General features: G+C 41.8%; 1 long non-coding RNA gene across 4 annotated transcripts in view, besides 2 other annotated features; it reads right to left on the bottom strand.

The window, feature by feature from the left end:
- Positions 1-5239: 5239 nt before the first annotated feature.
- Positions 5240-27717, bottom strand: part of LOC107986064 (uncharacterized) — a 112662-nt gene continuing 90184 nt past the window's right edge. Inside the window, exons 1-5 of one of the 4 annotated variants that reach the window (XR_007095833.1) lie at positions 13976-15871; positions 13015-13171; positions 12219-12404; positions 7533-8796; positions 5240-7391 (exon numbers count right to left, since the gene is read on the bottom strand). This is a non-coding gene — a long non-coding RNA (uncharacterized LOC107986064). Of the gene's footprint in view, positions 7392-7532; positions 8797-12218; positions 12405-13014; positions 15872-27717 lie in introns of those variants that run through there. The other 3 variants (XR_007095832.1, XR_007095834.1, XR_007095831.1) reach the window with 3 other exon arrangements.
- Positions 8137-8306: an enhancer, noted in NCBI's record as "experimental_65770 CRE fragment used in MPRA reporter constructs". NCBI's record gives its function as "activates a minimal promoter by MPRAs in K562 erythroleukemia cells, with activity observed for both the introgressed and non-introgressed 3:16011301 variant alleles {active_cell/tissue: K562}" and the evidence as "EXISTENCE:reporter gene assay evidence [ECO:0000049][PMID:34662402]".
- Positions 24819-25113: an enhancer, noted in NCBI's record as "tiled region #11154; HepG2 Activating DNase matched - State 9:DNaseU". NCBI's record gives its function as "activates a minimal TATA promoter and a strong SV40 promoter by Sharpr-MPRA in HepG2 cells {active_cell/tissue: HepG2}" and the evidence as "EXISTENCE:reporter gene assay evidence [ECO:0000049][PMID:27701403]".

The raw sequence follows: 27717 nt of genomic DNA, 5'->3' as shown, positions 1-27717 counted from the left end.
TCTATGGAGGACACATTGGAAGGACACATTACTCAACTTGGAAGGGCCAGGATGGAGCATTGCCTGGACGAGACATTTCCCATGTTGAACGTTAAAGGATAGGAAGTAGTCAGCTAAATGAAATGGGAATAGCTGGACAGATGGGGCAGCAAGGGGCCAGGTGCTCTGGCTCACACCTGTAATCCCAGCACTTGCCACTGCACTCCAGTCTGGGCAACAGAGTGAGAATCCGTCTCAAGAAAAAAAAAAAAAAAAAAGGCGGGAGGGCAGCAAAGGTATGAGCACAGAGGGGAGAAACAGCTGCAGTACTCAGAGGGCAATGAACAGCTCAGGTTGTCAGAGCAGAGGGAAAAGGAGGAAGAATGGAGGATGAGGTTAGCCTTGTAGCAGGAACCATTTGGTACAACATTGAACCTCTAATAATTAGATCCTGCCTTTCTCCTTTTATCCTCCCTGTCCTGGCATTACATCTGGGATCTGGTAAGTCACAGTATGAGAACCAGGGTCCAAATTTATGAAGAACAGCATGGACATTTTTGTCATTGGTATTCATTTCTTTAGAAAGAATTTTTTGCCAACACTGGAGAGTCTGAAGGTAAGCAATTTTTTCTCTTGTAACTCTTTTCACTCCTAGTAACAGCTAGTTTTTTAAAAGTCAGCATATGCCCATTAACTTTGAGAAACTACAGCAAAGAATGCAGGAAATTTCCATTGTTTGGACAACTGGCAAAGAAAATAGCCTTCTCCCAGTAGTGGGCAATAGTTTCACCCATACTGCAATTAGATAGAAGGATAAAGAGAAAAGAAGAAGAAGAGATTAGCATTGAATGGAACCCATTTTTTTTTCTGTTTTTTTAGAAATCTTGGAGACACAGATTTTGTTTTCTCCTTCCACAATGAAAATGTGAATATTCCGTGTAGCTTTATCTGCTTTGCTAGCTCCAAAACTTGGCCACTAAAAAAGGATCCATGATGCTGTAAAATCTGAAAGAGCAACTTCAGAAGAAGCCTGTACAGGGGTAGATTTCCAACTACCCTCCCAGACTGATCATCAAGGAGCAAACTAAATCCCATTTAACACAAACTGCTCAGCAAGAAAAATTTTGCCCATGTGTAAATCCATACCCAGAGTCCCCATTTAGTCTCAAAATCTGTCTATTTTGCTAGATTTACACACACATTGTGGTGCTTAGAGACTTGGAGGCACAACATTCCAGAAGGTGAGGGTGGGGCCGAGTGCTATTGAACATGTGAGGGAGACAGGGTCAGGCGGGCCTCAAATGAGTGTGCAGAATCTTCTCCCTCAACATGCTGCCCTGTGTCTGCTGGCATAGGGGCTTTGAGGCCTGAGGGACCAGAGGCAGGAGGCAGAGAGCAGCAGGGGAGGGCAGGATGAATGTCAGACCCATGGCTATCCAAAAGGGCATGAAGTCCCTTTGGCCCCATAGCACCATGACCCTCAAAGATAATGACAAAACAAGTTCCAGGATGAAAGTGAGAAGTTAACCTTGTAGTAATGTTGCCAGCTTTAGCACATAAAAATACTGGACTCTCGATTAATTTGCATTGCAGATACACAACAATAATGTTTAGAATAAGTATGTCCCAAGTATTGTATGGGATATATTTATGCTAAAATATTTTTCACTGTGTATCTAAAATTCAAATTTAACTGAGTCCCATATTTTTTATTTGCTAAATCTGGTCATTCAAATTTAACTGGATATCCTGTATTTTATCTGGCAACCCTACCTTGTAGGTCTCTAGTTCACAGTTCCCCAATATGTCCCATCCCATCCCTGCCCCTGGTGATTTCCTTTCCCCTTTCCCCCTCTTCTGGCCCTCATTCTTCCTCATCAATACAAGAAAGGATCTAACAACAGTTTCCAAAGAATTGGAGCTCATTAAATACTAATATGTTCTCTTGCCTCGATTTGCATATTTACTTTTTTTTTTTTTGAGACGGACTCTCGCTCTGTCGCTGGGCTGGAGTGCAGTGGTGTGATCTCGGCTCACTGCAACCTCCGCCTCCTGGATTCAAGCAATTCTCGTGACTCAGGCTCCCGAGTAGCTGGGGTTACAGACATGCGCCACCACACCCAAGCTAATTTTTGTATTTTTAGTAGAGATGGGGTTTCACCATGTTGGCCAGGATGGTCTCGATCTCCTGACATCGTGATCCACCCACCTCAGCCTCACACAGTACTGGAATTACAGGCGTGAGCCACTGCGCCCAGCCAACTTTTTTGTTGTTGTTGAAAGTTGAAAGACTTTATTCCCTACTAAAATTACCCCCAAGCAATCTGCAACTTGTGAGGGGAGATCTATGGGCTGCCTGCTTTAATAATTCAAGTACACCATTCTGAAATGAGAATAGTTTAAGCTGTTCTCACTAGGTCTTTTAATATATCAGCATCTTTCTTAAGAAATTCAGGTCACAGCCTCCTGATCCAATTGTTACTACCTCAAGCCTCCTCCTGCTCAGTTTTCATTTGGGGAATAGGGAGAAATGGAAAACACTGGAAAGAAGGATGCAGAGGCAGAGCACCCAACGATTGCATGATACTAGTTTGGATCTTTGTAATTTAGTTTATGTGAGTGTCAGAGTTTGCATGTGGGGTGATAATTAAATGGTAGGTGGTACTGGAGAAAACTATCAGCGTGGAGGCTGTTGATACGTACTGGCGACCCAAACAAATGGGACTATAAAAAGTTAAATGGGTTTGGCTGCATAGAAGTAATACTAATTACAGTCATTTCTGTGAGCTTTCCACCACACGGATGCCTAATTACCATATGGTGCCATAATACTTATGTGTATCATTATATGTGCCTTAAATTAACTTTGTTATAAAGTGTAATTTGGTTAGAACAGGAGACTCAGCATGAATTGAGTCTTCATAGTTTGTCATTCGTGCAGAATGGCTATCTACTACTCTTAAAAAAATCAATGCAACTATCGCCAGGGTCATAGTGAGAAAGGCAACTGTAGCAGGCAGCCTCTAAAATGGCTCCCAATCTGCCCCAAATCCTTGTATTCGTGCCTCTGTCCAATCCCCTCCACTTCAGTGTAGGGCGGGCTCCAAACCTATCCTTCTGTGCTCAGCTTTGTCCCACTGGGGCTGGGACTCTGCAAACCAAATTCCTGCTTTCTCTGTGACTCCTTGGTAGGCTATGCCGATAGGGGGCGTTAGAGGGAGACCGCGGGGCTGGAGGGGGGAAGCAGGGACTTCCTCCTTCTTGTCTGTCTCCATTTCTTCCCATTTCTATGAGCTTTACCCCAGCAACATTGACCCCAGCTGCAGCAGCTCCTGTAGCAGCTGTTGAGTCTAGCTTGCAATTTCAGCACTTGTAGAACCAGCCTCATGGTGCTCCTTGACACTGGCACCAGAAGAGTAGCACCTGCTCCTCAAGAGGTTTGGGTCTCAGGACCCTCTACGTTTGAATATTTCCCACCTCCTCCTTTTGCTCCCCTAGCCCACGGAGTGGTGGCTACTTCTTGCAGTTGCTACTTCCATGATACCTTCGAGTTCTAGAGTTCTATCAAGTTTGCCTTTTCGGTTACCTAATTAACAATTAATTCTATTAAATCCTGTTAAAAATACAAAACAAAACAAACAACAACAACAAAAAAAACATGGTGTGATGTGTCTCCTGATTGTACCCTGACATACAAGGGTTACCCTCTACCTCTGCTTCTGGCCAGGCAGCCTCAAGCTCAGTCCCAGCTTCCTTTTTTTTTTTTTTTTTTTTTTTGAGACAGATACAGGGTTTCACTCTGGAGTGCAGTGGTGCAATCATAGTTCACTGCAACCTCAAACTCCTGGGCTCAAGCAATCCTCCTGACTCAGCCTCCTGTGTAACAGCTTCCCATCTTAACCCTCCAAAGAGAAGAACTGCCCAGCCTGCACTTGCACAACCTAAGAAGTGAATGTGTCCTTAACTTGTGTGCCCTTGGCTCCTGTCTTGCCTCAGCCTACTCCGAGCTCTGCCCTCAGGAGAAATCCAGGGAAGTGATGCCAGAGCCAGACACAAAGATAATGGAGGAAGAGGAGAAGGAGGAAGGTCAGTGCAAAACAGCCAGAGGCCAGCTTGGGGATTGCTGGTGCCAAACATGTCCAATTTTAGCTGGGGTCACAGGGATAGCTGAGAGCAAGTGGCGGTGAGGAGCAGTGCTGGCTAAGGACCCACCTGAGGATCATATGGGTTATGGATCATCTGCTGCTTGCTGGGCTTACTTACTGTAAGGTACATCCATGTGCTTTGGTCAAGAATTAGGCCGAGGCAGACATCCAGGCCTGCATGACTCGGCGAGTTTAGGGTGCAGGTACATACTCTTATTTGTTATATAACCTGTTTGTGTAAGCTCATATTTGGCTCAAAGCCACTATTGTTTGGAAAAGGTATAACTGCCCTGCTGACACCGTACAGGCACTCTGGGGCATGGCTAAACATGGCTCAACACAGTGTGCATACTGTGCCCGGAGAGTAACGCTTCTGATCCCTGTAAGGGAGAGCCAGTCGCCTTGAAAGCGGGCAGAGGGGAGCCAGAAACCAGTTTGTGCCCAGAGGGAAAGAGTTAAGCTGCTGACCCTGAAGGAAGGGAAAGCTGGCCATACACCTGTGTGTGGAAGCAGCCAGAGGTGCAGAGCCAACTGCTGAAAGGAGCCACAGAGTCACAGCACACAACCAAGATAAAGGCAGACAGGGTGAGAGAGCTGCTGATGGGAGAGCTGCTGAATAAACCTACTTTTCACCTGCTTACGGCCCTCCAAGTGTTCTTACCGCTATGTGCCCATCCACCCACTCCCCTTGGACCTCAGCATGGGCTTCAACCTGACCCCAAGTATGACATTGGGCATAGTCATGGCAAAACACTTATGTATGCTGCATCTCCACTGCTGGAGCAAATATATACAGTCATCTCTTGGTATCCACAAGGTATTGGTTCCAGGACCCCCTCACATATCCAGATTTCCACATACTTAAGTCCTGCAGTTGGCCCTGAGGAACATGCATATATGAAAAGTCGGCCCTTGATACACGTGGGTGTCACATTCCAGGAATACTGTATTTTCGATCTGCGTTTGGTTGCAGATGAGGAATATATACACACAAACATATATATATTAATATATATTTATGAGTTGAGGGCCCCCTTATAAAATACTAGATTAGCAAGGGAAATGAGAATATAAACTGAAGTTTAGATGTAAAACTCACTATATCAGGCAGTGTCTAGCCAGGAAAACAGAACCTACTTTATTTATTTTCCATTTCAATAGGTTTTTGGGGAACAGGTGGTGTTTGGTTACATGAATAAGTCCTTTAGTGGTGACTTCTGGGATTTTGGTGCACCCTTCACACAAGCAGTATACACTGTACCCAATGTGTAGTCTTTTATCCCTCACATTTTCTTTATCCACTCATTGATTGATGGGCATTTGGGCTGGTTCCATATTTTTGCAATTGCGAATTGTGCTGCTATAAACATCCATGTGCAAGTATCTTTTTAGTATAATAACTTCTTTTCCTCTGGGTAGATACTTAGTAGTGGGATCACTGGATCAAATGGTACATCTATTTTTAGTTCTTTAAGGAATCTCCACACTGTTTTCCATGGTGGTTGTACTAGTTTACATTCCCACCAGCAGTGTAAAAGTGTTCCCTTTTCTTCACATCCATGCCAACATCTATTATTTTTGATCTTTGATTATGGCCATTCTTGCAGGAGTGAGGTAGCATCTCATTGTGGTTTTGATTTGCATTTCCCTGATAATTAGTGATGTTGAATATTTTTTCATATGTTTGTTGGCCCTTTGTACATCTTTTGAGAATTGTTTATTCATGTCCTTAGCCCATTTTTTGATGGGATTCTTTGTTTTTTTCTTGCTGATCTGAGTTCCTTGTAGATTCTGGATATTAATCCTTTGTCAGATGTATAGATTGCAAAGATTTTCTCCTATTCTGTGGGTGGTCTATACTGATAATTTCTTTTGCTGTGTAGAAGTAATTTAGTTTAATTAAGTCCTACCTATCTATCTTTGTTTCTGTTGCATTTTCTTTTGGGTTCTTGGTCGTGAAGTCTTTGCCTATGCCAATGTCTAGAAGGGTTTTTCCAATGTTATCTTCTAGAATTTTTATGGTTTCAGGTCTTAGACTTAAGTCTTTGATCCATCTTGAGTTGATTTTTGTATAAAATGAGAGATGAGGATCCAGTTTCATTTTTTCTACATGTGGCTTGACAATTATCCCAGCACCATTTGTTGAATGGGGTGTCCTTTCCCCACTTTATTTTGTTTGCTTTGTTGAAGACTCGTTAGCTATAAGTATCCAGCTTTATTTCTGGGTTCTCTATTCTGTTCCATTGGTTTATGTACCTATTTTATACCAGTACCATGCTGTTTTGGTGACTATGGCCTTATAGTATAGTTCGAAGTTGGGTAATGTGACGCCTCTAGATTTGTTCTTTTTGCTTAGTATTGCTTTGGCTATGCGGGCTCTTTTTTCATTCCATATGAATTTTAGGATTGCTTTTTCCAGCTTTGTGAAGAATGTTGGTGATACTGTGATGGGAATTGCACTGAATTTGTAGATTGCTTTTCGCAGTATGGTCATTTTCACGATATTGATTCTACCCATCCATGAGCATGAGATGTGTTTCCATTTGTTTGTGTCATCTATGATTTCTTTCAGCAGTGTTTTATAGTTTTCATTGTAGAGGTCTTTCACCTCCTTGGTAACAGGTATATTCCTCAGTATTTTATTTTATTTTTTGCAGCTATTGTAAAAGAGGCTGAGTTCTTGATTTGATTCTCAGCTTGGTTACTGTTGGTGTACAGCAGTGCTACTGACTTGTGTACATTAATTCTGTATCCTGAAACTTTACTGAATTCATTAATCAGTTCTAGGAGCTTTTTGGATAAGTTCTTAGGGTTTTCTAGGTATACAATCATATCATCAGCAAACAGTGACAGTTTGACTTCCTCTTTACTTTTTTGGATGTCCTTTATTGCCTTCTCTTGTCTGATTGCTCTGGCTAGGACTTCCAGTACTATGTTGAATAGAAGTGGTGAAAGTGAACATCCTTGTCTTGTTCCAGTTCTCAGGAGGAACGCTTTCAACTTTTCCCCATTCAGTATAATGTTGGCTGTGTCAGAACCTACTTTATTTAAAGAGATGGGGATTTAATGCAGTTAATTGATTACATGGATGATGCAAGAGCAGAGTGTCCAAATGGGACATGGTGAGGCCACCTAGAGATTAGCACCAGCAGGAAGCCATTCCCATCTCTAGGCTGGAGGCAGAGGGGAGAAGTGGTGTTGCAGGCCGGGCTCTCAGAAGCACTTAGAAATATACTGGAGTGCAAGGTGTTCATGAGGGGTCAACATCTGGGAAGGGGAAGGAGAAGCAACAGAATGGGCAGAGGCAGAAGCCACACAGTTATGCAGACCCAATGAAACCTCAGCCCACCTGTGTCCTCCAACAAGCCAGAATGGCAGGGCATTCAACACCCCACCTCTTCCACTCACCGGATGCCAGCTGCTTCAGGAAGGGCATGACCTCGAGCAAGGTGGTTCTCTGCAAGTAAGGCTGACCCTGTAGGGGCTGACAGCTGGATGCTGGCTGCAGCACCTGCCGTTGGGCAGCAAGTCCTTCCTTAAAGAGGACCTGAGTACCTCACATCTACCACAGTGGTGTGGCCAGAGCCAGGGACTGAGAGATTCCTTTATGGGAGCTGGAACCACAGTGAGCCTGCATAGGAGAGTTAGAACAAGGGAGAAGACAAGCTGCTAATGGAGTTCCTGCCCAAGGCGAAGAGGAAGGATGGAAATACTCTGGTTTCTCTGGTTTCCTCCTGCTTATGTCTGATCAGTGGTTTCTCCTGGTCAAACCTGCCAGAAACCAACTGATGGGGAGTTTGAGAGATGCAGCCTGCAGGTGTCAGCACCACTGGGCAAGCTAAGAAAAGGAAAGGACTCTGAGAGCACATAGGCCCAGGAAACCAACTCAGCAACTTTTTCTCTTATCTTCTCTCCAATGCAGCAAGGTTTAGACCTGCATCTATTGACTGCCCACCCCCACCCACCCCAGCATGTTGTGCTCCCCATCACCATGTGCCACCTTGTCTCACGGTGATGAACAGTGAACTGGCCCACCCAGATCCCCTTCAGGAAGGAAGGACTCCCTCCCTCCACTGCTGAGGAACCATCACTCCTGGTGCTGGGGGAACAAAAGGAAGAAGTTGAAATCATTTAAGTAGCCCTCAGCTGCCAAGGACTACTGTGGCAGAGGGGAGCCACCTCACCCAAGGTCATACTCCTTCCTGGGATGGCCAACATCTAATGATGGACTAAGGCGAGGCATAAAGATCCAGCCCCCAACTTGGGACCACCCCGAAGGGCCAGCCCAGCTTCAGAACTCCCGATGGCCGATGGAAACCTCCACTGAGACTGCACCATAGCCCAACTCTGTCCTCTGCCCAATCTTGCTGCCTTTCTTCCCCAGCAGGTGTTGATCCCGCAAGCATTCCTAATAAGCTTCCTAAACACTGGTCTTCATCTGAGAGTCTTCTTCCTGGGAAACCCAAGGTGTGGCATTCACATTAAGCACGTTAATCAAGTTAGCCTTATCTCGGATCCTTTTGGTTCTGGAGGAATCTTTGTTACGTCTCTTCTCTCATATCAGGAAGTGGAGATGCTCAATTCAGGCATTCATTCATGCCTGGAAAGTTCTTCCCCAAGCAGCCATCTCAATCCTTCACCTCATTTAGATCCATGCTCAAATATACGCCACCTGTGAACAGCAGCATTCTCTAAGGCTGTACTGTGCCTTATTTTTCTTTATATAGCACTTTCCATCTAACAAATTATTTATGATTGTTTGTGGATTGTGTGTCTCTGCCCACTGAAGCAGGGAATTTGGTTTTGTCCATAGCTCTATGTACACAGTGCTAGTGTTTAGCACACAGTGTGAGTTCAATAAAATTTGCTAAGGAATTTGGTCTGAGTGCTAAGTCCTGTGCCAGACACTGATGATGCCTTTGGAAAGTTCCAATCTAGTGGAGAAGTTAGACAAGTAGAAAAACAATTATAACACAATGTGACAAGTGCTGTAATTGAGCATAGCTGTCAACTGATGTGAGCAACCTAGGCTGCCTGGACAAAGCTTCAGAGAGCATGTATAAGCGACTGACTCTCTGGGGAGCCCTGGAACAAGTGAACCACAGACTGATCTGGGCAGGCAGGCAGGTAACAACAGAAGTCTCTAGGATATCAGGGTCAAAAGGATAATGAGAGAGAGGAGGCCAGGCATGCCTTAAGATCCAGCACTGCCCGTCTGGAAACGTATTCCTCAGAACATTAGCTGGCATGAATGTACAAAGATTTAGGTACATGGAGTGGGTGGGGAGGCGGTCACAGCCACATTGTTTACAATAGCCAAAAAAAAAATAATAATAATAATAAGGAGCAACATGAACATTGATCCGGAGGAAAAGAGCTGAATAAACAAAGGAACTCCCATACTTCGGCGTAATGACACTTTTTTTTTTTTTGACACTCATTCTGTTGCTCAGGCTAGAGTACAGTGGCACAATCACAGCTCACTGCAGCTTCAAACTCCTGGGCTCAAGCCATCCTCCTGCTTCAGCCTCCTGAGTAACTGGGACTACAGGTGTGTGCCACCATGCCCAGCTAATTTTTTAGTTATGGTTTCGTAGAAAGGAGTCTCACTATGTTTCCCAGGCTGGTCTTGTACTTACTGCTGGATTCAAGCAATCCTCCCCGCTCAGCCTCCAAAACTGTTGGGATTATAGACGTGAGTCCACCCACTGACACTATTAAAAAGAGATCAATCTATATGTACTGACATGTAATAATATGCATGATATATTAATGAAAAAGATTACAGAACTATATGAACATGTTGATACCCATTTTGTTCAAATATATATGCACATGTGTTTACATAAACATGGAAAATCATCTAGAAGGAAACTGAACTGCTCAACTGTTAATGGTGGGACTGGGGGATTGAAATAGATAAGGGAAGGCTTTTGCTTTTTGGTATTATTTGAATTTGTCACAACCAACATGGACTAACTTTCAAAGGAAAGAATCCAAGGAACTTATGGTCATCAAGCATCAGGGACGTGCTGGTAATTGATCAAAGCAGCTCATGGGGGTTAAAGCAAACAAGAGATAGGAGTTAAGTAGGTGAACTAATTCAAGACAAGGTCACTGGCAGGACGGTGGAGAGAGGCAGAAACATAAATGACCTGACTCCTGGAAAAGCACTGTTGACCCTTTGGCCTAGTGGCTACTTCCTACAGGTTTTAGGAGTGTTCAGACGCCTTGGCAATTGGAGCCACCTGCAGTTATACTGGGACTCTGATGGGTACAGGAATAGCAGAGTTAAGATGATGATGATGTTCTCATAAGGCAAGCCAAAGCCTTCTTGCTTTATCTAACCCAGCCCTTCCTTTATATATCCCTGGAAAAAAGACGTAGCATCTCGCCTTTTGTCTTTCTTTGCTCCATGCAAGACCTCTCAGAGACTTTAGTAAGCTTTCTGTTCTGTTTGCAGTGGAAGCTCCACAAGGAGAAGCCATATGCAACATTTCCCAACAATATTGGACCACAGAGCACACCTTTGTTAATATATTTTAATTGCCATCAAGTTTTAGTTATACAAATATTAGTGGATGATTTCTCCTTGTAAAGAACTCCAGGCTAACCTCTTGGAGGGAAAAGAACATGGAACAAAAGATGAAACTCTACATGAAGAGAGAAGCCACATGGAGGAAGTCTGAGAAACTCCAGCCGACACACAGCACCAAGGCCCCAGCCTTGAGGGTGAGGCCATCTTGGACCCACCAGCCCAGCTGAACGCAGACACATGAGTGAGCCAGAGACAAGCCATCCCCACCAAGCCTTGCCTGAAGTCTTGACCCAGAGAATCATGAACAATAACTGGTTGTTTTAAGCCACTATTTTAGGGTGGGTCTTTACATAGCTATAGATAACTGATACATTTCCCATCCTCTCCTCAGTGTCAGTCTCCCTCTCCATGAAGAAAACATTATCTTGAAGATGGTTTTTATTGTGATTTTGCTTGTTTTAAGCAGTTTTGTCAGGTATGTATATATCCATACACAATCCATTTTATAATTTTAAGCTGTATTTGAGCTTTCTAAATATGGAACCATGCTACATGTAGGGAGAACAAAATTGTGGAATGTTCCTCCACTGAATAATTACCATAGTGAAAATGATGTTGCTACACACGATACCATGGATGGATCAAACGCAGAGGCATAGTGTTATATTGAAAATGGCAGTTGGGGCCGGGTGCGGTGGCTCACATCTGTAATCCCAGCACTCTGGGAGGCCCAGGCGGGTGGATCACGAGGTCAGGAGATCAAGACCATCCTGACCAACATGGCAAAACCCCGTCTCTACTAAAAATACAAAAAATTAGCTGGGCGTGGTGGTGTACACCTGTAGTCCCAGCTATTCAGGAGGCTGTGGCAGGAGAATTCCTCTAACCCAGGAGGTGGAGGTTTCAGAGAGCCGAAATCGCGCCACAGCACTCCAGCCTGGTGACAGAGCGAGACTCTGTCTCAGGAAAAAAGAAAGAAAGAAAATGGCATTTGGGTCAGGCACGGTGGCTCACAACTGTAATCCCAGCACTTCAGGAGGCCAAGGCGAGCGGATCACTTGAGGTCAGGGGTTTTGAGACAAGCCTGGCCAACATGGCAAAACTTTGTCAAAAGTCTGCCATTCTGACTCATCATTTCCACTCTTCCTTTCACTCCTTCAGTCAAACTGTTGCAGTTGCACATGAACGACTTCATTTCATCTAAAATGGGCCCCCAGCCTCCAGAGCTACGCACTCTGCAATCAGGTTCACCTCCTTAAATTAGCTGGCGTGGTGGTGCAGGCTGGTGGTCCCAGCTACTCAGGAGGCTGAGGCACAAGAATCACTTGAACCCCGGAGGCGGAGGTTGCAGTGAGCCGAGATTGTGCCACTGCACTCCAGCCTGGGCGACAGAGCAGTGAGACTCTGTCTCAAAAAAAAAAAAGAGAGAGAGAGAAAGAAAGAAAAAGAAAGAGAGAGGAAGGAAGGAAGGAAGGAAAGAAGGAAAGGCAGAAAGGCAAGTTGCAGAAGACCACCATACACATCATTCACCTTTTCATAGGATTATTGGCCATTACCTCTTGAGTTTCTGATTAATTCACGTGTCCATTTTTCTTCTGGGTTGTCTTTTTCTTATTAATTTGAATTCGTTATGTATTTTAAGAAATGTTCCCCAAGTGTACATACAGTCCTAGGAATTGCTTGAATCTTGAGAAACTTTTTCAAGAATGTAGTTTAAAATTACCAAACAAAAAGACCACACCCTGGAAGGTATTGAAAAAAATAAAATAAAATAATGATAACTTACAGGTTCTTTCATTTCTTTGCCAAAAATTCCAAGCGTTAGAGACTTGACAGAGCTTTAGGCTATATTACCTGGTAAAAAGCCATTTACATAAATCCACAGTGCACAGAGGTACCTATTTCATATTTTCTTTACTACCGATAGAAAATGCATCATTTGAGATACAGCCCCCTTTAAACATTTCCTAGGGTAGACCAATGAATTACTGTTCTTTCTAGCCATGAATTTATATCGCACTAAGAAAAAATAGACTCCTTTAACCTCTGAAGAGTGACATTTCTTTCACTTGGGTCACTTGATAGAGCCATTATAGTCTCAGATAAGACATGTGGGACTCTGTTTAATATCTGGCAATTTTCTTGTGCCTCTTCATTTATTAAAAGAATGTATCCATTAGCGGTCATTAGTACGTCCTGTCAAGATGGGGGTTAAATTATCCTCAACGGCTTATGAAAAAAAAAACGCTTTTTCAAGAAAAATGGTGGCATTAATTGCCCAGTGGAATAGAAACGGCTTTCTTTGCCATAACCTCTCCCTCCCCCGCCTAGGAGGAATTGGACACTGCTTACCTCTGTCAACGATCCAGGCCACTTTCTCCTTACCCTATGAGTCAGCTCCATCACTCCGGCCTGTGGCCTCTCTGGTGGCAGGCCACTATCCGCAGGGAGTAAATAAAGCTCCTCAGTCCGTCACAGTGAGGAGCCTCAGACTGACTCTTCTTGCTTGCTAATTCATCCAAGGAAGAAAGAGGAAGGAGATGCCTCACTTAGCAAACAATCTCATTTGAAGGGGCAGTGTTTTAGCAACAGGAAGCAGCTCACATTAGAGAAATAATCACTCTCCCTTAGCTCCAAACTGAAACCGATCTCCTTTTTGACCTTTCATTTGAAACATATGCTCTTTGGAATTTGAACCACCCGGAGTGGTTCAAGGAGAGAGGTTGTCCGGTGCGCGTGTTGGGGGAGGAGGAGTATTATGTTTTCAAAATTAAAACAAGTTTTCTGTGTAGCTTTTAAGATTAAAAACCTTAAGGTTTAATTAGCAAAAGGTTTCCATCTGCTAAAAGAAGTTTCCAGGCTTTGTCTTTCTCTTCCCCCTTCTCAGGGCTCATCCATTCTCACAAGCATTAGTAATTATATCCATATCAGTTAAGATAAGCTGAAAATCATAAAATACCAACCAACAGTTAAGTAATAAAGACATTTAATAAATGTTAAGTGTAACGAGTCTGGAGGTCAGCACATCAAGGCTTGGTTCAGCAAATCCACAAGGCCACTAGGAACCAGAGGCTCTTACTATCTTTCTGTTTTGTCATCATCCGTGTGTCGGCCCCTCTCCAAAGTGTCCAAGCCCCCCTGGCCAAGCTCACTAGCAGGAAGGAGGAAGATGGAAGCTCAGGGCTCCGCCCTATGGTGGTCTCTTTACCAGGAGGAAAAAAAAAAAAAAAATCCCCCCTAGAGCCCTTTAGCCTCATTGGCCAGAACGGAATCACACTCTCACCCCTTAACCAATCAAAGGGAAATGAGATACCATATTTGGGGTCTGGCCAATCATGGCTTATCCTTTCCATCTGGGCACATGGCAGCCCAAACACAGGTGGAATTCTGTTAGGAAGGAAAGAGGACCATTTTAAGGCGGAAACAGCTCCCAGATCCTTATTTCCAGCCCTGACTGGTTTTCTTAACTTTCTTCCCCACTGCCTTCTGAACAGCCCCACCTCATTATCTTACTGTCACCTCAAACTCAGTCTATTAGGGAACAAATTCCTTTTTTTACCTCCTAATCCTGGCTCCCTTTTCTTTCCTGATTTTTCCAAGGGTAGTTTCTTCCACCATGATGAAGGCTGCAAACTTTGGAATCATCTTGGATGCCCTCTCCATCTGGACTTCCTTTTCCAGTTGGTCCCCAAGAGCTGCTGATCCTTTTTCTTCCTAACATCTCCCCCTCTGACTCATCATTTCCACTCTCCCTTTCCCTCCTTCAGTCAAGCTGTTGCAGTTGCACATGGACGACTTCATTTCATCTAAAATGGACCCCCAGCCTCCAGAGCCATGCACTCTGCAATCAGGTTCACCTTCTTAAAGCTCTCATCCCTCCCTCCTAGCCTCCAGTGCTAGGTTCCCATATGCTCACAGAAGCAAAAAAATGCAAACTATCTTGCTTGAGTTTTAAGATTTTCTACAACAGTATACTCTACCCCAGCTAGACTACTCAACTGACTGTTCCCTAAAGCATGCTTTATGCATTCTCATCACCGCAGATTTGTCCACGCTATTCACTTAGACAAGAGTACCTTTCTGCTTCCTCTCTCCCAGCTGAATCCTACCTGGCCAACTCAGATTTCACTGCTGAAACCTCAATTATTCTAGGCTACAGCGATTGTTTTCTCCTCTGAAATCTTATGTGCTTACTGTCTTTGTGGATCATGAGCCATTTTTTTTAAAAGAAACCTTAGGATTAAATGATTAGGCAAGATAACTCTGCGATGGCCATATTACCAATGCTTTGCAATGTGCCACAATAATACTTACATGGTAAATAATGATATAATAGCCATTATTGAAGTTTTTAAAATATCCTTTTAGTTAGTAAGCTTCGGAAAGTTCAGAGCCCCTTTAAAAGGTAAAGGTAGTAGTACTTTAGGGCTGCAATAGATTCTTCAGGAATGAATCTATACAATATGATGTCATCTGTCAGTGGAAAGACCATTCATTTATAGCCAGGAAATTACAATTTTATTGCCTGACAACTGTCACCAGAATTCTTGGCAGGAAAACTCTGTATTTAGGAAAATAACTTGACAAATTGCTTGGGGGTAGACAATGAAGTCCAGATAAGAATTTGACTACATTATTTGTATCAGGGTGCCATGCTCATATTTAGTCTAGTGGAGGACTTACCTTCTTTACCATTTCTTCATTTAAAAAAAAAAACAAGCTTCTGGAATAATTGGCAAGCCACATGGAGAAGAATGAAGCTGGATACTCATCTCTCACCTTATACAAAAATCAATTCAAGATGGATCAAAGACTTAAATCTGAGACCTGAAACCACAAAGATTCTAGATGATAACATTGGGAAAACCCTTCTAGACATTGGCTTAGGCAAAGACTTCATGACCAAGAACCCAAAAGCAAATGCAACAAAAACAAAGATAAATAGATGAGACTTAAGTAAACTGAAAAACTATACAGCAAAATAAATAATCAGCAGAATTAACAGACAACCCACAGAGTGGGAGAAAATCTTCGCAACATATACATCTGACAAAGGACTAATATCCAGAATCTACAAAGAACTCAAACAAATCAGCAAGAAAAAAAACGAAGAATCCCACCAAAAATTGAGATAAGTACATGAATAGACAATTCTCAAAAGAAGATATACAAGTGGAATGCAATACCGTCTCACTTCTGCAAGAATGGCCATAATCAAAAAAATTTTTTTAAATAGATGTTGGTGTGGATGTGGTGAAGAGGGAACACTTTTATACTGCTGGTAGGAATGAAAACTAGTACAACCATTACGGAAAACAGTGTGGAAATTCCTTAAAGAACTAAAAGTGGATCTACCATTTGATCCAGCAATCCCACTACTAGGTATCTACCTACAGGAAAACAAGTCATTATATGAAAAAGATATTTGCACATGCAGGTTTATAGCAGCACAACTTGCAATTGCAAAAATATGGAACCAACCCAAATGCCCATCAACCAATGAGTGGATAAAGAAAATGTAGTATATACATACCTCGGAATACTACTCAGCCATAAAAAGGAACAAAATAATGGCATTTGCAGCAACCTGGATAGAATTGGAGACTGTTATTCTAAGTGAAGTAACTCAGGAATGGAAAACCAAACATCATATGTTCCTACTTATAAGTAGGAGCTAAGCTATGAGGACGCAAAGGCATAAGAGTGATACCTTGGACTTTGGGGACTCAGGGGAAAGGGTGGGGTGGGTGACAAGGGATAACAGACTACACATTGGGTACAGTATGCACTGCTTGGGTGAGGGATGCACCAAAATCTCAGAAATCACCACTAAAGAACTTATTCATGTAATCAAACACCACCTGTTCCCCAAAAATCTATTGAAATAAAAAAATGAAAATTTTTAAAAAAGGAAATAAAAATAATTTTTTTAAAAACTCAAAAACATTTTCTAATTATCCAATTCTGGAAGGTATTAGAAAATAGAAAAAGAGAGACTTTTAAAAATTATATAATTGTTTAGGGAAATTACTTTTAAATACCTGAATCATCTTAAGAAAATGTTGAGATGTTCTAACATTAAAAATTGAATTGTCGGCCAGGCACGGTGGCTCACGCCTGTAATCTCAGCACTTTGGGTGGCCGAGGTGGGTGGATCACAAGGTCAGGAGATCAAGACCATCCTGGCTAATACAGTGAAACCCCGTCTCTACTAAAAATACAAAAAATTAGCCGGGCGTGGTGGCGGGCACCTGTAGTCCCAGCTACTCGGGAGGCTGAGGTAGGAGAATGGCGTGAACCCAAGAGGCAGAGCTTGCAGAGCCGAGATTGTGCCTCTGCACTCCAGCCTGGGCGACACAGCCAGACTGTCTCAAAAAAAAAAAAATTGAATTGTTTAACCAAAAAGGTTGAGATAAAGGGACAAATAGATTGTTGGAAGTTCTCATTATGAAATCAATAAGAGGTAGTCTTATTATGACAGAGAGAAGAAAGGATAGATCTTTAGTGATGAAAAAAAAGAATAAGAAGCATAGGAAAATAAGAGCATGGCATTTAGAAGAGAAGAAGTATAACAGGGTAGACAGAGACAGAAATAGAGGTAGAGGTAGAGAGAGAGAGAGAGAAACAGAGTGAGAGAGAGAGAGAGAAAATAAAATCATTTCCACAAGCTGGAGAGGCAAGTGGAATGAGGATACCAAGAACCTGGCATACCAGGCCAGAAGTTTTTAAATTTGCTCTGAGAGAGGTGTAGGTCTCAGGGCCTGGAAGAGACATGATGGGAATGTTCATCGACCAGGCATCTGCTTGGTGGTCCACCAGTGCCAGATGGTCACTACTGAGCCCACTTAGGGAATGACTGGAGATTGCTGAACTGCCTACGAAAGATGGATGACATATGACCATGATACCTGACCACAAGCCTGGGATGTCAAAATGAGATTATGATGTTTATTTACACATTTGATTTGTGCTGTAATCAGTTTCTATTTATCTTCTTTTCATTGACCCCTTTGACCAGCTCTACGCATTACGAATAAAGCAATCAGAACATAAATTGTTAAAAAAAAAAAAAGCCAAGTCACTTAAAGAAAAATGGCGAGGTTGTTGAGACAGAACCTTGTGTAGAAAAATAAGAAGATATACAGACTATTTTCTGTTCATATATTTTATAAGAACTATAGCAAGAGTAGCATAGCTGTTTGATTAGGTCAAGGTAGGGTCTGGTACCAGATTGCCCATTGGGTTTCTCTGAAGGAATTTGTCAAAGTATAGCTCAGTGTGTGTGTGTGTGTGTGTGTGTGTGTGTACATATGTGTGTATATATATATACGTGTGTGTGTACATATGTGTGTATATATATATACGTGTGTGTGTGTGTACCTATGTGTGTGTGTGTATATATATATATACATGTGTGTGTGTACATATGTATATATATACGTGTGTGTGTGTGTGTGTGTGTGTGTGTGTGTGTGTGTGTTTATGACTTATAAGCCTAGCAGGAATCCTGGCTCTGTAACTTGCAAGCTTTGTCAGAAGTCTCTGAACCTGTTTCTTCATTTGGAAGATAGAAGAAAGGAGGACTGTATTACATCCAGGCCTGCTCTGTATTTTCTTTTCTGTATTCACTCACACATTTATGTTTTATTTCCTAGGACTGAGTTCTTATTTTATGATTCACAATTCTTTGGTGAAATTGTCTATATTGGCAAGGATGCATTTGGCTGTGAGTAATAGAAAACTCTATTCCAACTGGCTCATACCCTAAAGGGGATTTATTGGTTAATTTAACTGAAAGAGTCCAGATGCTGGGTAGCTGTCAGGTGTGGCTCCATCAGCCTCCAAATCTGCCTCTCTATGATTTGCTTGGCCCCTTCCTCTTCTGTGGCTTGGCAACTTACTCGGGCCACCAGCGAGGTGACAGTAGCATTTCCTGGCCATAACAATGTCCACAGGAAGAGGGACCATATTACCCAGTAACCCCACTCTTTAGGAATCCTCCTATCCTGAAACTCTTACAAAACCTTCTACCTTATTAGTCACAATTTGGTCACATGCCCATTCCTGAACCAATCCCCTTGACCCAAGAATGCCACCCATAGATTATCTAAGGTCTGGATTCCGCTGTGGCAAAGGAGTAGAATTACCCATAGAACAGTGAGGCCCACACTGCAGCTGAAGGCAGGGTCAGCTTCCCTAAACCTCAGCTCTGCATGCGGGTAGAGGTATTCCTGAACAAAAATCAGAGTGCTGTTAGAAACAGGCAAGAGGAAATGGATGCTGGGTAGGCTTTTGAAAGTTCACTCTATGGAACGAAAATTGTAGAATATACTATTTTATCCCAGAGGCCACTGAACAGGATATAGCCATGTCTGATAACCAAAGGCTGTAATGTTCAAAATTAGAGTCTGCCAGATCTTTATCTAACAAAGTCTAAGAATTTCCATAAGGAAATTAGAAACATGTAAACAATTGCAGCTCCTTGGGTAACTGTATGCTAGCATATCTGAAAACAATTGTTTCCACTCCATATGGGATACTAATCAGCTTAATTAAATGGAAAGAAAAAAAGAAACCTCAGGAACCAAAACTGCTCCAATATTTCATCAAAGGAATACACAGGGAGCTTTAAAATACAGTCTCTTCAAACAGAAAAATAGGTAAAATATTGGAAAGGATTAATCAGAGTGAAGCAGTCTTTAACTGCTATTTTTTCATCAGGGGAACATAAAAGAAGTTGAAAAATATAGATATTCTGTTCAGATAGAAAAATAGATGTAATGTTGAAAAAGATCATTTAGAGACTGGGCAGTTTTTAATTGCTATTTTAATTGTCAATCAATAATATCCAATTGTATTCTGCCACTAAGTTTACATTCAGAATTTACCTAATGTTATAAAAATGCTATGTTTATCAATTTTGTGAGGATGGAGGACAGTGTGTCAATCCCTCCTTGCTTTGAGCTCAAATCAACTTAGAAGTACATGGAATCTGTTCTTCCAACAAACATCTATTGAGGGCCTGTGATGTGCCAGGCTGCCCCGGGTTCATGGCATAGCCATGTGTCAGCCAGCTGCCTTCCTTCCTTCCAGAGGAAGCAGGTACTTGGAGGCCATCGTCTAACATCCCTAGGTTTACATCCTTTGGGACATTAGATCCCTCTGTGGAGCAGCCTTGGCCCTTTCTCTGATGTCAGCTCAGTTGGGTCACTGACTTATTGAGCTCCCACTCCCAAAAAAGAACTATACAAAATGCTGTACATCAGAGCTTACAAAGTACAAGAATAAGCATACAGAGTAGGAGAATAAAAGAGAAATCATTGACATAGCTCTTGCTCTTGAGAACCACCAAGAAAGAAAGAAGAGCACATACATATCAAAGCACTGATGAACAGAGGCCCAAAGGGAGGTAGTACAGGAGTGAAACATGTCTTCCAATTCCCAGGTTAGCATGATATATTTTGGGAAAGGAGACGAATGAATGAATAGGATAAAGGCTAAATCGTGGAAGGCCCCAGAAGTCAAAGAATTAGACCCCGCAGACTAAGGGAAAGGCGAGCAGTTTATATTTCAAAAGGAGGACTGTGGCACAAGTGCTTTCTACCCATCTCATCAAAAGCCTGTTGATGCAGCCAATGTGGTATAGTGGAAAGAGCAAAGCCTTCCATGTCAAATCAGTGTGGAGCTGAATTCTGGCCCAACCACTGAAGAGCCATGTGACCTTGGGAAAGCTACTTATCCTCTCTAAGCCTCAATTTTCTCATGTAAATAAAGAAATGAAGTCTATATTATCAAGTTGTGCCATCTAGTGTGGTAGCCACTAGCCACATGGGTCCATTGCATTTAAAATGTTGCAAGTCCAAATTCTGGTATGCTGTAAGGATGAAGTACACACTAGGTTTAAGAGGCTCATATAAAAAAAAAAGACCTCCTAACTCTTTATGTTGATTACATACTGAAATAATAACATTGAATTACATAAATACATTGGATTACATAAAATACATTATAAAAATTAGTTCTGTCTTATTTCCTTTTTATTGTTATAGAAAATTCAAAATTACATAGCCATAATGTTAGACAAAGCAGAAAACAGTTCTTTTTCTCTAATGGAAATTGGAAATAGGATTTTGTTCCCTAATGTCTTTAAAATCAATGAGCGTGATAATTTGCGATCATGATCACAATTTCTATCCATGCTGTTTTTGTGTCCTCCCACTCTGACTTTGGGCTGGACACGTTACTTTTCCAATGGGAATTTAGCAAACAGAATACAGGCAGAGGATGTCACACTACTTGCACACTTACACACCAGGGCTTGCTCTCTGGCTGCTCTTGGGAGCCTTGAGACCATTACCACGTAAGTAAGCCCACACTAGCCTGCTGGATGATGAAAAGTACCCAGCCAAGTATCCCCACTGCCCCCCAGCCAACCATCAGATAATGTAAGTGAGGCCATTCTAGACCACCTAGCCCCAAATGAGCTGGTCCAGCTGACCCACAAATTTGTGAGAAATAATAAATGTTTGTTGTTTTAACATATATTTTAAGGTGTCTTACTCTGCAGTAAAAGCTAACTGGTAGATTTTGAATGAATCTATGACAAACATCATATTAGCAGAATCTTCATCAGAGTCTGAGAAAGAATAGAGACTGGTAAAATCCAGTTACCCTGATCTCTATTGGGGGTGAGCTTTGCAATCTCATTCTAGATAGATAGATAGATAGATAGATAGATAGATAGATAGATAGATAGATAGATCCCTCTTCCTCTCTCTCTCTCTCTGTCTCTCTCTCTCTCTCACACACAAACACACACACACACACATACAAACAGACACACATTTTGGAGGAGAATTGGAAATATTAGTCCAGACAGACTCAAAAATCTCAACCCAGGGTTTTCCAAACCTTTTAGACATGAACACCTCTTTTTCTGATAGCAAAAACACTTGTACTCTGGTGGTGTTTTGTTAATATCTGTTGATTAAGAACATACATAATTCCTATAGAGTCCTTGCTACTATTTGCATGGCTTTATGAAATGAAGTAAAAGAGGATCAATTATATGGATCCATTAGAAAATGGTAGTGCTTCCTCTCAGGGATGACTCAGCACCAAAACAGGACAAATGGCTCATGGAGGAGAGTTGTGACTGCTTCCAGCCCTTGTGTGAGGCCCCTCAGCTGGGTGCTCTTGGCTAGAGCTCAGCTTTAGCACTGGTAACAGAAAGACACTACGGATTCAGTAGGGCTTTGAAGTGAAATTGTGTTTGATTCATAACAACAGTGTCTAGATGCATTTAAAAAACAATCATTCTTTATTCTACAGACAAAGCTTTTGGGATTGAAATGAATTCAGACTTCTTATTATTGTATCATAACTTTGTGACCCACCCCCACCCCCACACCATGAGATTATAGTCCACAGCTGGGCTCAGACCACTCAAGGTTATGTCTAATGGCCTCAAGTGGGCAGAAATAGAGAGCAGACATTGTCCCTCTCTGGCCCAAGCTTACAGTTCGCAACTGCAGATCAAGTGTGAGACTTGAGGAAGGAGGTAAGGTGGCACTCTACCACTTTGCTCCAACAAATAAATCACAGCATTAGGTGCTAAATGAATCCTTTTACATTTTGTTCACACATTTTTTGTGTATGGAGAAAAAAATGCGTACAAATGAATAATTTTAACATAAAATTCTGAGTTATTAATAACCCTTCGTCTTACCCATGCATTTTTTATTTTTTATTTTTCTAGCTTTATGCCTTCATATCTATTAACCATTCTCTTGTGACTGTGTGATCTTTTGCAACAACACCTTTTGTTTATATAAGGTTGCTATGGGTTGAATGTGTCCTCCAAAGTTCATGCGTTGGAAATTTAATCACCAAAGCAACAGTGTTGAGAGGTAGGACCTTTAAGGGGCGATTAGGTCATTAGGGCTCTGCCCTCATGAATGGATTTATGCCATTACCATGGGAGCAGCATCCTTATAATGAGTGAGTTTGACTCTCTTTCCTCTCTCACATGCACTCTCTTGCCATACGATGCCTTCTGCCATGTTACTATGGTGCAAGAAGCCCTTCACAAGATGTGGCCTCTTGATCTTGGCCTTCATGGCTTTCAGAAAAATGAGCCAAATAAACTTCTATTGTTGGTCAGGCACAGTGGCTCATGCCTGTAATCCCAGCACTTTGGGAGGTCTAGGTGAGAAGATCATTTGAGCCTGGGAGTTTGAGACCAGCCTGGGCAACATAGTGAGACCTCGTAACTACAAATAATTAAAAAACTAGTTGGGCGTGGTGGCACACACCTGTGATCCCAGTTGCTTGGGATGCCGAGGTGGGGGAATCACTTGGGCCCAGGAGGTTGGGGCTGCAGTGAGTCATGATCATTTCACTGCACTCCAGTCTGGCTGACAGAGCAAGATTCCATCACACACACATACACAAAATCAATTGTTTATAAATTACTATGGCTGTGATATTCTATTATAGCAGCACAAAAAGGACTAAGACAAAGGTATTCACTTTTTTTAAGCCCTTTTATTAAACTACAAATCATAAACCACCGAATTATTTTAAGAGTTAAAAAATAAAGTTTTGTTTCAAAAATGATCATTTATTATCCTAATAATCTTATGAGATAACAAGGGAAAATATTATACTTTTGCCTGCTCCAGAGAGGGGGGATGTTGAAGGACAGAGGTGGTATTCTCAAATTATTAGCAGAACCAGTCCATGCAGAGCTCTTTCCACTACATGAAGCTGCTTTATATAGATAGGGCAAGGGTAAATCACAAGTAACATATTTTTCAACTTTTTCGTTAACCTAAGCAAGTGAAAATCCCTGGCAAAGCCCTAGCAAAGCATCTGCCAATTTCCATGGTGTAAATGCTCCCAGTGTGTCTGATTTCCAGCTACCATATGATGTGACTGAACATAGAGTTGAGATGTGCAGTAAGTAGCACATGGTTATTTAGTATTTCTACTATACATATATAATAGATGTAAATAACCTCAAGAACGTAATAGTTAATGTAGTAAAACAATTAGGAAGTGAAGAAATTTTGCTATTTATTACCTTTGTTTTTAATATAATTTATTTAATTGTAAGTTTATCTAATTTTTAATGATGTTGTGTTTAACAAGCAGCTCACTAAATTCTTGAAATTTTAACAGTCACTCTCACCAACTAGTAGGAGTGGATTCTGCATGCCACTGACTCAGGTCTTCCTTTCAAGTTATGTGAAATTTAAAATAAAATAAATATCACCCCTAGGGGGCACAGCTAGTTGTACACCTTAACACTACCCTCCCTCACCAACACACACATTTGAGAATTTCTGGATTGCACAAGTGAATGTATCATCACAGGGCAAGAGATGGCATGGCAATTTGTGGATGGCCTGGGCTGCAAGTCAGAAAAAAGCAATGGAGCCAGTGAGCTAGGACTGTTGATATAATTAAGATAGAGGGTAACTTAGGACTCTTCCTACAACCTTCTTGAACTGCAGAGCAAAGAAAATCCACCCTCCTATTGCAGAAAAACAGGGTACTTTTGCCCTGAATTATTCAGCTAGACTATTGACCAGGTTCAACTGGGTAATTACACGTGTCTTACTTTGACTGGTTCTATGTTGGCCTAAGCTTTAGGTTTGGGACATAAAATGTTAGCCCTGGGAAAGATTACAGAGATAACAAAGCCTGGCTCCTCATTTCACAGACAAGGAAACTGAGTAAACCTAGGGCTAGAGAAAGACAAATGAGAAACTAAGGTACAAAATTTAAGTCGGCACTCATTTTCAGGATAAAGTAAGTGCAGTCAGTCCTGAAAGTATATCCTTAAATTCTCCAGCCTAGGTATCCCTCTCACTTTACCCTTGTCCTATCCAAAACTAATACCCAAAGAGGCCAAGTTAACATAACTAGTTGTGATCAGAGCTAGAACTACTACATGTCTTCTAACTTCTGGCCTGGGATCTTCTTCCTACAGTAGGCTGCCTCCAGCTTTGCCCACCCTTCCAAGGAAAGACCTCCAAAATTTTTTTTAATGATGTTGTGTTTAACAAACAGATAGCTAAATTATTTTTTAAAATTTTTTTGCTAATTTCTTTTTTAAAAAGCTTGTTATTTTTTTAAAAAAAATTTGCTAATTAAAAAAAATAAATTAAATTAAAATGAGCAGAGAGCACCTTAGTCTGGATTAGGCCCAATTTGGTTATAGAATAGTGACCTGGAAGAGCATGGCAAGACCTCATGCACTACAAGGTGATCACAGTGTTTAAGCAGGCTGGACTTTTGCGCTCTCTGTAGAAATTGCACTCAGTAGATTTGCTTATAAAGCAAATCAATATGTGTAAACAAAGGAAATGTTTATCTTTCTTAAGAAGGAAGGCCAACAAACTATTTTTAAGTACTTATAAAATTATTTTGAAAAGAGCCATTTGCAAATGATGACTTTGCTAATTTACACATCACTCCTCCTACTGATTGAAACACATAGAAGATCCTTCAAGGCACAGAATGATTTTACCCTTTACATCAGTCTTTGTCATGTGTATTAGTCAGGGTTCTCCAGAGCAACAGAACCCAGATGATATATATAGACACAGGAGTTTGCGGGGAGAGAGAGTGTAAGAATTGGCTCATGCAATTATGGAGGCCAAGAGATCTGCTGTCTGCAAGCTGGAGAACCAGGAGCACTGATGTTCACAGGCAGAAGATGGATGTCCCAGCTCAAAAAGAGAGCAACAATTCACTGCCCTTCCTCTGCCTTTTTGTTCTACACAGGTTCTGAAAGGATTGGATGATGGTCACCCACGCTGAGGAGGATAATCTGCTTTACTCAGTTCGTCAATTCAAATGCTGACCTCTTCCAGAAACGCCCTCCCAGACACACCCAGACATAATGTTTTACCAACTATCTGGCATCCCTTAGCCCAGTAAAGTTGATGTATAAAATCAACCATTACATCATCAACCTGAAATAATCAAAAGGACCAGAATTCAGTTTAAAAGAGTCTATTGGCTGGGCGTGTAAACCCAGAAGTTTGGGAGGCTGAGGTGTGTGGATCATTTGAGGTCAGGAGTTCAAGACCAGCCCAGCCAACATGGTGAAACCTCATCTCCACTAAAAATACAAAAATTAGCCCGGTGGGTAGTGGCGCACACCTGTAATCCCAGGTATTCAGGAGACTGAGGCAGGAGAATCACTTGAGCCTGGGAGGTGGATGTTGCAGTGAGCCAAGATTGTGCCACTGCACTCCAGTCTGGGTGACAGAGTGAGACCCTGTCTCAAAAAAAAAGTTTATTCAAGCGCAAAGCTGAGAATGGCCATTTGGATTTGGATAACACAGGCTTCAAAGGAATGGGGTCAATACTCCAAAGTTAAAAATTAAGGTCTTGCTTATATAGGCAGGAAACAAAAAAATTTAATAGGATTATGACATTTTCTATACAAGGTTGGTTTACGAGTTAAAACAATTTAATTACAGTTTTTCTTTTATATCCAGCTTTTTTTCTCCTTTCCAATTTGAAGTAATATATTTAACATTTCATCTTAGACAATATGATAGTCAAGAAGTCTGTGTGAGAGAAGAAAGAGGGAAGTTAACCTACAACAAAGATCAATAGTTAAGAGAGAAGGGGTTCCTACCTCGGTGCCCGTTAGTAATTTCCAACATATTACAAAACAATGTAGGTAAGGAAAAAAGGCTAATCTATAATCAGAGACACAAAAGGTTATAGCTGCCTGTTTTTGTGACTCAGGTCCCATAATCACATTCCCTTAAGGCTCAAAATATTTTATAGTTCCAACAGCTTAGATTTTGAATTACTTATTTTCACATCATGAATCTGAGAGTAATAGTTCTATGTTTATTCAAGAATAATCTAAAATATAAGTTTTCCCACAACACAGGTAGACCCAGTAATCCCAATTTTACTCAAGAGAAATGTAAACTTTATCAAGTTGTGATAAAGTACCTGTGACACAGTTACCTGACTGTATGCATTTGTCAAAGCTCATGGAACTGTACACTAAAAAGGATAAATTGGCTAGGCGCAGTGGCTCATACCTGTAATCCCAGCACTTTGAGAGGCTGAGGTGGGGGGATCCTTTGAGCTCAGGAGTTCAGGACCAGCCTGGGCAACATAGTGAAACCCCATCTTTACAAAAAATACAAAAATTAGCTGGGCGTGGTGATGTGCACCTACAGTCCCAGCTATTCAAGAGACTGAAATGGGAGGATGGCTTGAACCTGGGAGGCAGAGGTGGCTTGAGCCTGGGTGACAGCGCAAGACCTATCTCCAAAAAAACAAAAACAAAAACAAAAAAAATCCATGATTTTTACTGCATGTTAATTATACCTTAATTTGCCAAATTGGAAATTTTTTGCTTTCTAAACTAAATTAGTCTCCATTATTAAAATAGACCTTCTGAGGGTGACATTTGTATTGCAGCTCAACATCTCCTCTGCTCTGAACTGAAGACCTGCTACCTTCATGATTGTGGGTGCGATGTTTGAAGCACAAGCTACTTGTCTGTAAGAACTAACAAAATCGGATATTAGAAATCACATAGTATAGGCCAGGGGTGGTGGCTCACGCCTGTAATCCCAGCACTTTGGGAGTCTGAGGCGGGCAGATCACAAGGTCAGGAGATCGAGACCATCCTGGCTAACACGGTGAAACCCCGTCTCTACTAAAAGTACAAAAAAAAAGAGAAAGAAAATTAGCCAGGCGTGGTGGCGGGTGCCTGTAGTCCCAACTACGCGGGAGGCTGAGGCAGGAGAATGGCGTGAACCCGGGAGGCAGAGCTTGCAGTGAGCCGAGATCGCACCACTGCACTCCAGCCTGGGCGACACAGTGAGACTCCGTCTCCGAAAACAAACAAACAAAAAGAAATCACACAGTATAATGAATAGCCTCTTAATTTAAATGCAACAATAATACTAACAAAAATTGAATGTTTGTCATGTGCCAGACATTGCAATACCCATAACAATCCTATGAGGTTAATGAAATGATCTAACTTATTTTTCAACAGGACCA

This window comes from Homo sapiens, chromosome 3, assembly GCF_000001405.40.
Source record: "Homo sapiens chromosome 3, GRCh38.p14 Primary Assembly".
Taxonomy (NCBI): Eukaryota; Metazoa; Chordata; class Mammalia; order Primates; family Hominidae; genus Homo; species Homo sapiens.
Note: the sequence above shows the minus strand (reverse complement) of the source record. Positions and strands in the feature narration are given on the sequence as shown.